The 14,523-nt window shown below is 44.6% G+C and overlaps 2 protein-coding genes across 2 annotated transcripts in view; one reads left to right on the top strand and one right to left on the bottom strand.

Annotated features, from left to right (window-relative positions):
* Nucleotides 1-57: 57 nt before the first annotated feature.
* On the top strand, nt 58-13,052 carry MBOAT4 (membrane bound ghrelin O-acyltransferase MBOAT4). Its single transcript, NM_001100916.2, has 3 exons — nt 58-240; nt 5,967-6,191; nt 11,817-13,052. Exons 1-3 carry the CDS (start codon nt 122-124, stop codon nt 12,778-12,780), a joined length of 1,308 nt encoding a protein of 435 aa, NP_001094386.1. The 5' UTR covers nt 58-121; the 3' UTR covers nt 12,781-13,052.
* The window catches only part of LEPROTL1 (leptin receptor overlapping transcript like 1), a 42,941-nt gene continuing 34,792 nt past the window's right edge, over nt 6,375-14,523 (bottom strand). Inside the window, exon 4 of the mRNA NM_001128208.2 lies at nt 6,375-7,451. Coding sequence (NP_001121680.1) covers nt 7,221-7,451 — 231 coding nt within the window. The 3' untranslated portion in view covers nt 6,375-7,220. The remainder of the gene's footprint in view (nt 7,452-14,523) is intronic.

Below are 14,523 nucleotides of genomic sequence, written 5' to 3'. Positions count from 1 at the left end.
GCTCACCCTAGCCCCGCTAAACCAGATAAAAAGACCAGAGACAGCCTGGTTGAGATTACTCTTGGAGGAAGGCATCAGTTAAGGACACTGGAAAAGACAGGCTCTTTTGTTCTGGTTCCTAATGGAGTGGCTTTGGCTGTTCTTTCTCCATCCTATATCGTTTTACCAGGGGGCTGCATTTCCCTTTGCACTTCTCTTCAATTATCTCTGCATCATGGATTCATTCTCCACTCGTGCCAGGTAGGCTGGATGGCTATTTTTACTCTTACATCCAGAAATACTATAGTGACTGGGTGCGGTGGCTCACGCCCGTAATCCCTGCAATTTGGGAGGCTGAGGCGGGCAGATCACTTGAGGCCAGGGGTTTGAGAACTGCCTGGCCAACATAGCGAAACCCTGTCTCTAATGCAAATACAAAAAAAATTAGCTGGGCATGGTGGCTCATGCCTGTAGTTCCAGCTCCTCGGGAGGGAGGCAGGAGACCTGCTTAAGCCCAGGAGGTGGAGGTTGCAGTGAGCCGAGATGGCGCCATTGCACTCCAGCCTGGGCAACGGAGCAAGCCTCTATCTAAAAAAAAAAAAAATTCAGAAATACTATAGTAGGGCAAAAAGCAGAGTAGACTGCAGATGTGAAGATTACAATATATTAATTACACTTGTTTTTAACTTACTCTCACTGTCACTGATTATTGATATTTGATAATGAATATATATAACAGAGTAAAACTAAACTGGAAATTCACATCCTTCCTGCACTGATGTAAGGTTTGCTGGGTTCAGGTTAAATGGCAGATGAGTGAAAATAAACTCTCAGGAGAGATGGTTGTTGCGATGGTACAGGAATTCTCCAAATGGATACATCTCTGTCAACCATGGATCTCAGATATTCTTGAATAGTCCTAATTTTATGGAATTTTATCATTTTCAATCAAATTAAATTTTATATAAAGTTACATCAGTATAAGTTTTATTATAACTAAATGTGATTTTTAAAGTGCCTTTATATGAATTCTCAGAGAAATGAAATAAGTCAAAATGAATCTTGTTAGATTAGCTATATGATAATTTGAAGTTCAAAAATTATCACTAGAGATGTGATGACTTGATTGTAATGATTTTTTAAATATCAAATAACCTCAACACATTAGAGACAGCACCTATTTTTTTAGATTGCTCATATAAGATTTTATGTTTTTAACATAGTCAAAAGGCAAGAACTTAACTGAACATAGAACAGAAATGGTGAGTGTACTGTTAACATGGCTACATGATTTTCTGTTAAATTGAAAAGTCGCAAATACATTTTTTATTTTATTTATTTTTATATATATATATATATATATATATATATATATATTTTTTTTTTTTTTTTTTTTGAGACGGAGTCTCGCTCTGTCGCCCAGGCTGGAGTGCAGTGGCACGATCTCGGCTCACTGCAACCTCCACCTCCTGGATTCAAGGGATTCTCCTGCCTCAGCCTCCCCAGTACCTGGGACTATAGGTGCACACCACCATGCCCAGCTAATTTGAAATACATTTTTAAAAATAATTCCAATTTTTATTTTAGATTCAAGGGGTACATGTGTAGGTTTGTTACGTGGGTATATTGTATGATGCTGAGGGTTGGGGTATGATTGATCCCATCACCCAGGTAGTGAGCACAGTACCCAAGAGTTAGTTTTTCAACCCTTTTTCCCTGACAGTCCCTATTTTTAACAAGGTTTTGTGGAATGTCCTTTTGTAAAGTGAAAATCTGTTGCCAAAGGGCCACTTCCTAATAATTCACTTATTTTGGGAATTAGGATTTTTATATATTGGGATTCTTAAATAAAATATAGCTGTATCTAACGATCAGTTAGGATTGTGGAATTTGATTAAACAATGGTATGATCAAGTGTTCACAACTGTCTCATGGCCCTTAACTTCACTAATGGAGATTGGAGTTGGGGGACAGCTGTAAAGAAGTTTCCTTTTGAGAAAGATTCTCAAAACAATAAAGCAACATGAGTGCAAAAATAAGGATTAATCCTCATGGAGTTACCTTAGGGTGAAGATTGCTCAGTTTCTGGCTGGATGCAGTGGCTCACACCTGTAATCCCAGTAACTGGGAGGCAGAGGCAAGTGGATAGCTTGAGCCCAGGAGTTTGAGACCTGCCCGGGCAACATGACAAAATCCCTGTCTCTACAAAAAGTACAAAAAATTAGCCAAGTGTGGTGGTACATGCCTGTAGTCCCGGCTACTTAGGAGCCTGAGGCAGGAGGATCCCTTGAGCCCAAGAGGTTGAGGTTGTAGTAAGTCGTGATTATGCCACTGCACTCCAGCCTGGGCAGCAGGGAGAGACTCTGTCAAAAAAATAAAAATAAAATAAAAAAGACTTCTCACTTTGGATTCAGCCTGTTGAGTCTTGACTCCCTCACCTAACTAAGTGTCCTTGTGTATATCAATATACTTCACCCAAATGCCCTCTTCTTATCTGTAGAACAGAAAACATAATGCCTATCTCATGGGGTTATTTTAAGTATTAAATAAATATATTTCTCGTAAAGGGTTATTAGCACTATGCCTAGAATGAAATATGCAATCGCTAAGTCACACATTGCTAAGTCACACATTCTACATTGTCCATGTACAGACAATTTAATGTTTATAAATCTCCTAGGGGAGTTGCCTGTGGGTGGGAGTGTTGCTGTGTAAAGGATAAATGTTCCCCCTTTTGTTTTCCCATAGCAGGGAAGTAAAGGCTTGGACCACAATGTTAACTGGGGTGTTGAGGGGGGAAGTCACCCCAAGCATAGGTTCAAAGAGAAGCACAAGAATGGTCCAGGCTTTTGAGTCATAGATGCTCTCACACTGAGACACTTAACGCTCTCCCCCAAGGAAAAAAGTGGTTCTTGCTAACCTGTACTTGGCACTGTGCCCGGAGCCGTGACACACATTTGCCTTGCAATGGTGTTTCCTGGTTCTGAGCTGGTAGAGAAATCCTAGGCTTCTTTGAGTCGCTTTCCCAGCGAGTCAAAAGGACCAGTGAGTCCTTTTTTCTTTTCTTTTATTTTCGCTTTTCTTTTCTTTCTTTTCTTTTCTTTTTGAAACAGAGTCTCTCTCTGTCACCCAGGCTGGAATGCAGCAGTGCGATCTCAGCTCACTGCAACCTCTGCCTCCTGAGCTCAAGCGATTCTCCTGCCTCAGCCTCCTGAGTAGCTGGGATTACAGGGGCCCGCCACCATACCCTACTAATTTTTTTTGTATTTTTAGTAGAGACAGGGTTTCACCATGTTAGCCAGGCTGGCCTCGAACTCCTGACTTCAAGTGATCTGCCTGCCTCAGCCTCCCAAAGTGCTGGGATTACAAGCATGAGCCACCACGCCCTGCTATTCCACACTTTTTCTGACCCCTTCATTCAGTTTTATTAACTAGGCACCAATTAAAAAACAAGCCTCCATATAATGCAGAAGGAAGAACCAAGTGTGCGTAATGTGAAGCTTCCCAGGCCTCTGCAGATCTGCATCTCCTTGGCTTCTGAGAGAGGCATGATTCACAAACCATTTCATCAATGTGGGTATTTTACAACATTAAAAAAACAATGGCCAGGCACCCTGGCTCATGCCTGTAATCCCAGGACTTTGAGAAGCTGAGGCAAGAGGATTGCATGAGTCTGGGAGTTCAAGACCAGCCTGGGCAACATGGCAAATCCCCATCTCTACAAAAAATATTAAAAAAATTAGCCAGGTATGGTGGTGCGTGTCGATAGTCCCAGTTACTAGGGAGGCTGAGGTGGGAGGATTTCTTGAGCCGGGGGGGTCAAGGCTGCAGTGAGTCATGATCGTGCCACTGCACTCCAGCCTGGGCAACAGGGACCCTGTCTCAAAAACAAGACAAAACACTGCTCTTTTCCTCCCTGGCCACCTGAAAATTGGCCACTATCATGAAAGACACAGCAGCTACCCATTCAAAGGAGTTCTTAATCAACTGACAACTTTGGTGGAAACATACGGTCGTGGTCACCCTTCACTCTGGGAAGGCAACAGTAATAAGAAAGAAATTTGGGAAAAACCAGCCAAAATGTACAAGATCTCATGGACATGATATATAAGATGGAGATCGTCTTTGTTTAGATTCTGACCCCATTTTGTTGTAGCAAGATAAGTGGCATGATTTATGATTCCCTGGATTATGTAAAGAAAAGTGAACCCAAGCATAAACTTGCAAGACATAGCCCAGATGAGAGAAAAAGACATCAAGAAAACAGCAAAAGGAATGCAAGGACAGAATGAAGAAAGTCAGGGGGCCCCAAAAGCCAGTGTTGGTGCTGACAAAAAAGAGTCCAGATTCTGCAGTGGCCGGGCGCGATGGCTTATGCCTGTAACCCCAGCATTTTGGGAGGCTGAGGTGGGCGGATCACCTTAGGTACAGTGTCTAAGACTGTACCAGGAGTTCAAGACAGCGTCTAAGACTGAGGCCAGGAGTTAGAGACCAGCCTGGCCAACATGGCAAAACTCCATCTCTACTAAAAATACAAAAATTAGCCAGGCATGGTGGCAGGTGCCTGTAATCCCAGCTACTCAGGAGGCTGAGGCAGGAGAATTGCTTGAACCCAGGAGACGGAGGTTGCAGTGAGCAACATCGCACCTCTGCACTCCAATCCGGGCAACAGAGCGAGACTCTGTCTAAAAAAAAAGATTCTGCAATGACTTCATCTGCGGTGATTGTGCAGATTTTTCGTGACAGGATATAATAAACTGTAACAACTTTTTGGGTTTTTTTAGAGACAAGATTTTGCACTGTTACCCAAGCTGAAGTGTAATGGTGTCATCATCGCTCAAGTGCAGCCTCTAACTCATGGGCTCAAGTGATCCTCCCACCTCAGACTCCTGAGTAGCTAGGACTACAGGTGTGCCACCATGCATGGCTATTAAACAAATTTTTTTTTTGTAGAGATGGGATCTTGCTATATTGCCCAGGCTGGTCTCAAACTCTGGCCTCAAGTGATCTTCCCTCCTTGGCCTCCCAAAGTGCTGAGATTACAGGTGTGAGCCACTGTGCCTGGCCTAAACTTTAATAAGTATAAACTTTAATAAAACAAAACAAAATCCTAACTCATAAGATCTTAAAGTGCAGTAGTAAGGATGAAGGGTGGATATAAAGATTTTTCTGAGTTTTCACTTTTCGAAGGGAAGTGTTGAGTCTCCTTTCTCTGTCAGCCTCTGGAATGCTTCCGGGTAGCACGACCCTGTGAAAAGGAAGGTACTTGTCTTGAGAGGATGCCTAGGGCGCTCTTCTAGATCCTTGACACTAGGTTCACAGCACTTTTCAGTCAGATGACGTACCAGGAGATTTCAAAGATGTCCTTGCTAGCCAGACTTCCAGGACGGTCAGGGGCAGGCGGTGGAATACCTTGGGAGGGAATCGCTTGAATGGAGGGCATCAAAGAGAGGTTCCAGGGCCACTAAGGCAGGAACTGAGATTTGTCTCCAGGCCAGGGGGGTGGCTCATGCCTGCAATTGTAGGATTTTGGGAGGCCGAGGGAGGAGGATCGCTTGAGGCCAAGAGTTTGAGACTGGGCGACACACCAAGACCCCATCTCTAAAAAAATAAAAAGCTAACCAGGCATGGTGGTGCATGCCTGTAGTCCCTCCCAGGTAGGAGGATCACTTGAGTCCAGGAGGTCAGGGCTGTGGTGAGCCATGATTGCAACTCTATACTCACCCTGGGTGACAGAGAGAGACCCTGTCTCAAAAAAAAAAAAAAGATTTGTCTCCAAGGTGGAAATTTACAAATTTACCCTGGCTCCTTCTCCCGTGATTCTTTTCTTCTGAAGAACAAAAGGAAGGCCCCAGAGTGCAAACAGCATGGCTACTTTAGGTGTTGTGTGGGGCCTACCAGATCGGGTTCCCTGGAGTGACATCTGCAGTAATTCCTTTGCTGTGCCGTTCTAAGTCATTCTCCCCAAGGTGTCCCTTCTCTTTCAGGTACCTCTTTCTCCTGACTGGAGGAGGTGCCCTGGCCGTGGCTGCCATGGGTTCCTACGCCGTGCTCGTCTTCACCCCTGCTGTCTGCGCTGTGGCTCTCCTCTGTTCCCTGGCTCCTCAGCAAGTCCACAGGTGGACCTTCTGCTTTCAGATGAGCTGGCAGACCTTGTGTCACCTAGGTCTGCACTACACTGAGTATTATCTGCATGAGCCTCCTTCTGTGAGGTAAGCAGCCTGTTCGTTGGTCATGCTCAGCCCACCTACAGTTTGCTTGCACCACGGTGGTAGCAGAGAGAACCTGGGTGTTGGGTTGGAGTCCTAATTTTTCCACATTTGACCAGTGTGACCTTGAGCAAGTCATTTTACCTCTTTCAGACTCATTTCTTTTTCTGGAAAAGATATGGGGCTAACAATACTGTGTTGCAAGATTGTTGTGAATGTTAGTGTAACCGCCCAGTGGGTTCACCTTCTCCACTGCCTAGACAAACAGGGGAATTGCAGTAAAGAAAGAGTAATTCACAGAGAGCTGGCTGTGCGGGAGACAGGCCAGTTTTATTATTACTCCAAGCTTTGGGGTAATCATAATCAGTTTCCCTGAGCATTTGGGGATCTGAGTTTTTAAGGATAATTTGGTGGGTAGGGGGAGGCCAGTGAGTTGACAGTGCCGCTTGGTTGGGTTGGAGATGAAATCATAGGGAGTCAGAACAGTCTTCTTGCATTGAGTCAGCTCCTGGGTGGGGGCCACAAGATAAGACGAGCCAGTTTATCGGTCTGGGTAGTACCAGCTGATCCATCAAGGGCAGGGTCTACAAAACATCTCAAGCACTGATGTTAGGCCTTAGAATAGTAATGTTATCCCCAGGAGCAATTGGAGGAGTGTCAGAATCTTGTCATCTCCAGCTGCATGACTCCTAAACCATAATTTCTAATCTTTCGGCTAATTTGTTAATCCTACAAAGGCAGTCTAGTTTCCAGGCAAGAAGGGGGTTTGTTTTGGGAAAGGTCTGTGATTGTCTTTGTTTTAAACTGTAAGCTATTAACTAAGTTCCTCCCAAAATGAGTCCCGGGAATGAACAAGGACAGCTTGGAGGTTAGAAGCAAGATGGAGTTGGTTAGGTCAGACTTCTTTCACTGTCTCAGTTATAATTTTGCAATGGCAGTTTCATTAGAATGAATATAAATGTGATTTTGTGACTAATCATCACTGCCACGTGTTGCCTACATGGTGCAGTGTCTGGCACTGAGCAGTAGTTGTCATTGTGCCTGAGAGGGAGGGCAAAGCAGGAATCCTAGAGCCCACAGAGCAGGCCTGCCCAGAAGTGACTCAGCACTGTCTGCCAGCCTCAGCACGGGTTGAGTGGACACTCTGCTTGCAGGTAACAATCTTCTCATGGCGGCTGCTGGGAGAGGCAGCTGCTGTGTCAGTGTTTCTCTTCCTTCAGACTCAGCTGTTCCCATCTTGCTGAAGAAGGGTAGGCGCCCCATCTAGAAAACAGAAATCAAGAGCTAATTACAGTCTAGAGAAGTGTTGTCATGAATCAGCAAGATCCCTGAGATGAGAGGAAACATTGCTTTGTGATCTGGAGATCTCATGTTCCTGGCTCTCTCTGGTGATCACAATTGGCTTCAGGGTCACTTGGAGCACAGAGGCTGTGATGCTCCAGGCGGTCACCTATCTGATTCTAGCCTGCGGTTGGTTCACTTGCTTTGCCATCCTCCTGACTATACCTAGAATTTTTTTTTTTAATTTTCCTGTAAAGACTATTTTCAGCCAGGCACAGTGGCTCACTCCTGTAATCCCAACACTTTGGGAGGCTGAGGCAGGCAGATCACTTGAGGCCAGGAGTTCAAGACCAGCCTGGCCAACATGGCAAAACCCCGTCTCTGCTAAAAATACAAAAATTAGCTGGGCATAGTGGCGGACGCCTGGAATCCCAGCTACTCGGGAGGCTGAGACAGGAGATCGCATCACTGCACTCCAGCCTGGGTGACAGAGGGAGACACTGTCTCAAAAAAAAAAAAAAAAGTTCGGGGGGAGAGACTATTTTCACCAAAGGCTTCAGGTTGGCTGCTCTAAGGAAAAGGCAAGATGGCAGGTGGGTGGGGCGTAGGAAGTACCAAATGGGATGGAGTGAATCAGGATTTCAGTAGGGAGCTGGGGCCTGATGGGGCTGGGAGAGCAAGTTGAACAGGATCTGGCTGGATGCGAGGCAGGCTGGAGCAGACCTGGAATGGGGGGCTCTGCTAGTCGGGCAGGGCTGCTGCCATCACACAGTGCCACAGACTGGGTGGCTCAAACAACAGAAATTCATTTCCTCACAGTTCTGGAGGCTGGAAGTCACTGATGATGACGTCAGCAGGGCTGGGTTCTTCTGAGGCCATTCTCGTGGCTTGCGGGTGGCAGTGTCCCTGTATGTCCGCGTGATGGTCACTCCTCTGTCTGTGCATGTGTCTGTGTCCTAATTGTCTGTTCTCATAAGGACTCTGTGCATATTGGATTAGCGCCCATCCTAATGACCTCATTTAACCTTAATCACATCTTTAAAGACCCTAACTCCATATACAGTCACATTCTGAGGTACTGGGGTTAGACCATAAGCACAGGAATTTTGGGGGCACATTCAGTCCATAATAGAGAGTGAATGAGCAGGGTTTGGTGGCATTTGGAGGCTACCTTGCTTTCAGTGAGAATCAGTCAAGTGACGGGGTCAGTTTTTCTTAAATCTTCAGACACATGGATAGAAACAGCAGCAGTTAGAAGACTGTTGTTTTCTCTCCACAGGACAGCATTTCTGACTGTAGAGTGTGTCATTGTAATTTTCTTTCCTTTTTTTTTTTTTTTTCAGACAAGGTCTCACTCTGTTGCCCAGGCTGGAGCACAGTGGCATGCTCATGGCTCACTGCAGCCTCGACCTCCTGGGCTCAAGCAATCCTCCCACCTCAGCCTCCTCAGTAGCTGGGACCACAGGCATGCACCACCACATCGGGCTAATTTTCATATTTTTTGTAGAAACGGGGTTTTGCCATGTTGCCCAGGCTGGTCTCAAACTCCTGGGCTCAAGTGATCAGCCCACCTCACCTCAGCCTCCCAAAGTGCTGGGATTACAGGTGTGAGCCATTGTGCCCAGCCTAATTTTCATTCATTGTTCTCCTCAATAATCTTGCCAGTGGGATCTTTGATGGTGAAGCAGTAAGAGCTCAGGTGATTGGTTAAGGCCATATTTCAAATTGCTAATGGCTCAGCACACATTGTGATCCATTCCTCAGTACAAATCCCACATTAGGCAAAGTCCTACAGCCAGGGCCTGGTTCGTATTTAAAATCTTCAGCTTCCTATCTTTTCTTCACTACCGAGTTTTTATTTCCTCTACGGCAAATTTCTCCCAAGTCTCTGATCCTAATCTTTGTAGGCCTTTCTTGGAAATATTATAATCAACATTTCCCACAATGTTCCTCATCATTCTCTTATTTGCATCTCTAATGTTTAATTTCCCCATTTACATGATCCTGCCTGATGTCACCCTAAATAACAAATAGGAAGAGTCTCCCTAAAAGAAAATGATGGGGCTGGGCACAGTGGCTCACGCCTATAATCCCAGCCCTTTGGGAGGCTGAGGTGGGTGGATCACTTGAGGCCAGGAGTTTGAGACTAGCCAGGCCAACATAGTGAAATCCCATCTCTACAAAAAAAAAAAAAAAACCCACAAAAATTAACTAGGCGTGGTAGCGCATGTCTGAAGTTCCAGCTTCTCAGGAGGGAGAGGTGGGAGGATCACTTGAGTCTGGGAGGCAGAGGTTGCAGTGAGCCAGGATGGTGCCACTGCACTCCAGCCTGGGTGATAGAGTGAGACCGTGTCTCAGGAAAAACAAAACAAGAGAAAAGAAAAGAAAAAAGAAAAGGATGCTTATGGCTGGGAGCAGTGGCTCACACCTGTAATCCTAGCACTTTGGGAGGCCGAGGCGGGCAGATCTCCTGAGATGAGGAGTTCAAGACCAGCCTGGCAGACATGGCGAAACCCTGTCTCTACTAAAAATACAAAAATTAGCTGGGCGTGGTGGCGTGCACCTGTAATTCCAGCTACTCAGGATGCTGAAGCAGGAGAATCGCTTGAAGCCAGGAGGCAGCAGAGGTTGCAGTGGGCGGCTGAGATCGCGCCACTGCACTCCAGCCTGGGCCATAGAATGAGACTCTGTCTCCAAAAAAATAAAAAAAGAAAATGATACTTATTTAGGAATTGGGCATTACAGTGGGAATATGTGTGCCATCGTATGTGTTTTCAGGTAGGTAAAGGAAGACAAAGTTTTTTTTTGTTTTTTTTTTTGTTTTGTTTTTTTGAGATGCAGTCTCGCTCTATCACCAGGCTGGAATGCAGTGACACAATCTCGGCTCACTGCAACCTCCGCCTCCCAGGTTCCAGTGACTCTCCTGCCTCAGCCTCCCGAGTAGCTAGGACTACAGGTGTGCACCACCACACCCAGCTAATTTTTGTATTTTTAGTAGAAATGAGGTTTCACCATATCGGCCAGGATGGTCTCGATCTCTTGACCTCGTGATCCACCTGCCTCGGCCTCCCAAAGTGCTGGGATTACAGGCGTGAGCCACCACACCCAGCTGGTAAGAGAAAGTTTTTTAAGAGAAAAATAAGGAGCATTACATAATTGTTTTGAAATCATTATCTTTGAGTACAGGCTCAATGACAAGGGTGATGTCAGTCTGTGGTTGGGCAGGAAGTGGCTGGGCAGGTGACCTCACAAAAGTATTTTTTTGTATAGGGTTGCAATGGTTGTTATGCAAGGTTGTGGTTTTTGCAGTCTTTTGTGGTAGTTTTTGTTATCAGACATACAAGCATTGAGAACCCTCTCTTCATACCTTTTCCTGGCTCTGTTTGTCAGAAGTGTTTTGTTTTGTTTTGCTTTTTAACACAAGTGACTTCATTTTCTTTTCTCTTTCTTTTTTTTTTTTTTTTTGAGACAGGGTCTCACTTGGATGTGTAGGCTGGAGTGCAGTGGTGCAATCATAGCTCACTGCAGCCTTGAACTCCTGGGCTCAAGGGTTCCACCCACGTCAGCCTCCCAAAGTGATGGGACCCACTGCACCCAGCCATGATTCCATTTTTATTCCCACAACTTTCAAATTGGAGTAGTGTGTGGTTCTGAATTAATTCAAGAACCTTCAGCTGTTAAAGTAAAATTTCCCAGGCAAATTCTCCTATTCAGGATGGAAGATTTCAGGATGGAAGATGGGATGGATCTCTGAGATCCCTGGGAAGCTTCTCAAGTTGAACATGCGTGTAAATGTGTGCATCTAACCTTTTCTTTAAAACAAACAAAAAATATATATGCAAATATACACACATATTCATACAGATATACATATGCTTATTTATAAAACACACATGATCATTACAAAAAATTCAAACAACGCAAAAAGTGAAAGATTTTTTACGCTAATTTCATTCCCTAGAGGTAACTATTCTTAAAAGTTTGGGGTATATTAGTCTAGACTTAAGCTCCACTGTATACTTAAGATCTATAAATATTGCCAGGGGCGGTGGCTCATGCCTGTAATCCCAGCACTCTGGGAGGCCGAGACAGGCAGATTGCTTAAGCCCAGGAGTTTCAGATCAGCCTGGGCAACATAGTGAGACCCCATGTCTATAAAAAAATAAATAAATAAGATTGATTTATTTTATTTTAAGATTTATTTTGTGTGGGGTCCTGCAGGCCATGAGATTAATCTTAGCTGTACAGACCTATCTATTTCCTGCGAGATCATGTATGACAGACTGGAATAAGAGAGAGAGAATAAATACAGAGTGTTTTTATGTTCTTTAAAAAATTATCTTGCAGGTTCTGCATCACTCTTTCTTCTCTCATGCTCTTGACCCAGAGGGTCACGTCCCTCTCTCTGGACATTTGTGAGGGGAAAGTGAAGGCAGCATCTGGAGGCTTCAGGAGCAGGAGCTCTTTGTCTGAGCATGTGTGTAAGGCACTGCCCTATTTCAGCTACTTGCTCTTTTTCCCTGCTCTCCTGGGAGGCTCTCTGTGCTCCTTCCAGCGATTTCAGGCTCGTGTTCAAGGGTCCAGTGCTTTGCATCCCAGACACTCTTTCTGGGCTCTGAGCTGGAGGGGTCTGCAGATTCTTGGACTAGAATGCCTAAACGTGGCAGTGAGCAGGGTGGTGGATGCAGGAGCGGGACTGACTGATTGCCAGCAATTCGAGTGCATCTATGTCGTGTGGACCACAGCTGGGCTTTTCAAGCTCACCTACTACTCCCACTGGATCCTGGACGACTCCCTCCTCCACGCAGCGGGCTTTGGGCCTGAGCTTGGTCAGAGCCCTGGAGAGGAGGGATATGTCCCCGATGCAGACATCTGGACCCTGGAAAGAACCCACAGGATATCTGTGTTCTCAAGAAAGTGGAACCAAAGCACAGCTCGATGGCTCCGACGGCTTGTATTCCAGCACAGCAGGGCTTGGCCGTTGTTGCAGACATTTGCCTTCTCTGCCTGGTGGCATGGACTCCATCCAGGACAGGTGTTTGGTTTCGTTTGCTGGGCCGTGATGGTGGAAGCTGACTACCTGATTCACTCCTTTGCCAATGAGTTTATCAGATCCTGGCCGATGAGGCTGTTCTATAGAACCCTCACCTGGGCCCACACCCAGTTGATCATTGCCTACATCATGCTGGCTGTGGAGGTCAGGAGTCTCTCCTCTCTCTGGTTGCTCTGTAATTCGTACAACAGTGTCTTTCCCATGGTGTACTGTATTCTGCTTTTGCTATTGGCGAAGAGAAAGCACAAATGTAACTGACATCTTTCCCTGGCTTTCACCTTAAACACCCAGGAAACATTTTAGAAAGTGCCAGATGACGCATCGATAATGCATACATTTGAACTTTTCCATAATAAAATTTTTTCTAAAGTTTTGGATGGATATACCCAGTGACTTGCAGTAGGAATTTGTGTATCTACTTTAGCAAGCTATTCTGCTGGTACTGAGGATACAAAAAGGAAAAAGATGTGGTTTCTTCCCTTAAGGTTTACAGTCTAGATGTGGAAGCAAAGATTAAGTAAAGTGATACATAAAAACACAAGGTGCTATGAACCAGATGGCAAACGCTCTATATATAGACACCCCAAAATTGAATGTTCAGTTGACCCACCTGATCCTGGAATGGGAACTTTAGCAACACAAAACCAAAACAAAACCTAACTCATTATCATATTGGTTTGTTATGTGGACTACAGACTTATATCCATTATTAGGTTTGAACTTTTTTTTCTAAATTTGGAAATTTGGGCCAGGTGCAGTGGCTCATAACTGTAATCCCAGCACTTTGCAATGCTGAGGTGGAAGGATTGCTTGAGGCCCAGGGTTTGAGACCAGGTTGGGCAACATAGCAAGACTTTGTCTCAAAATATATATATGTGTATATATATATATATACACACACACATATATATATATATATATACACACACATATATATATATGTATATTTGGGTGGACATGGTGTATGCACCTAAAGACCTAGCTCCTCTGGAGGCTGAGAAGGATCTCTTGAGCCCAGGAGTTTGAGGCTGCAGTGAGCTGTGATTGTGCCACTGCACCCCAGCCTGGTTGACAGAGGGAGACCCCATCTGCTAAAAAAATTTTTTGGGCCGGGCGTTGTGGCTCACACCTGTAATCCCAGCACTTTGGGAGGCCGAGACGGGCGGATCACAAGGTCATGGGATCACAAGGTCAGCAGTTCAAGACCAGCCTGGCCAATATGGTGAAACCCCGTCTCTTCTAAAAATACAAAAATTAGCCGGGCGTGGTGGTGGGCGCCTATAGTCCCAGCTACTTGGGAGGCTGAGGCAGGAGAATCGCTTGAATCCAGGGTGTGGAGGTTGTAGTAAGCCGAGATCACACCACTACACTCCAGCCTGGGCGACAGAGCAAGATTCCACCTCAAAAAAAAAAAAAAAATTTTTTTTTGAAAATTTGAAAAAAAAATTGTCCTAAAAATAAATGGCTGATATTATTCCCAGGTATATGTTAATAAGTAAAAACCCACATGATAACTATTTACATAATTGTTAAATACACAGCTGACTCATAAACATGTCTTACAAAGAGATCAATAACAGGAAGTAAACACTATTTTAATATGACTTTGAGGGTGGGTTTGATTCTTTTTTTCTTGGCATATCCTAAATAACTCCCTCTGTTTCTTCCTGTTAGGATTTAATATACACAAGAGAAAGGTTTCAGGACTTCTAAATTATGCAGTAGCAATGTCATTTAACTAGCACTTACAAATTACTGCCACATCTGCAGGTCACCTGTACTGTTATGTAATTACCATTTTTCTTTAGTCAACTTTAATTCAACTTACTTATAAAACTTACCCTTCTTCTAAGCAATGGCAGTGATGAAAATTGGGTTTGGTGTGCTAATTCTATTTTACTCCAGTACTCACTAAAAGAAATACATGCTTGTTCAAATAAAAAAAAACAAACTTTGTATTTGTGTTCTGTGTAAAACCATCTGCTTATCTAGGGTGACATC

The sequence above is a fragment of the Homo sapiens genome, chromosome 8, assembly GCF_000001405.40.
Source record: "Homo sapiens chromosome 8, GRCh38.p14 Primary Assembly".
Taxonomy (NCBI): Eukaryota; Metazoa; Chordata; class Mammalia; order Primates; family Hominidae; genus Homo; species Homo sapiens.
The sequence above is the reverse complement of the archived record's forward strand: the minus strand, read 5'-3'. Positions and strand labels throughout refer to the sequence as shown.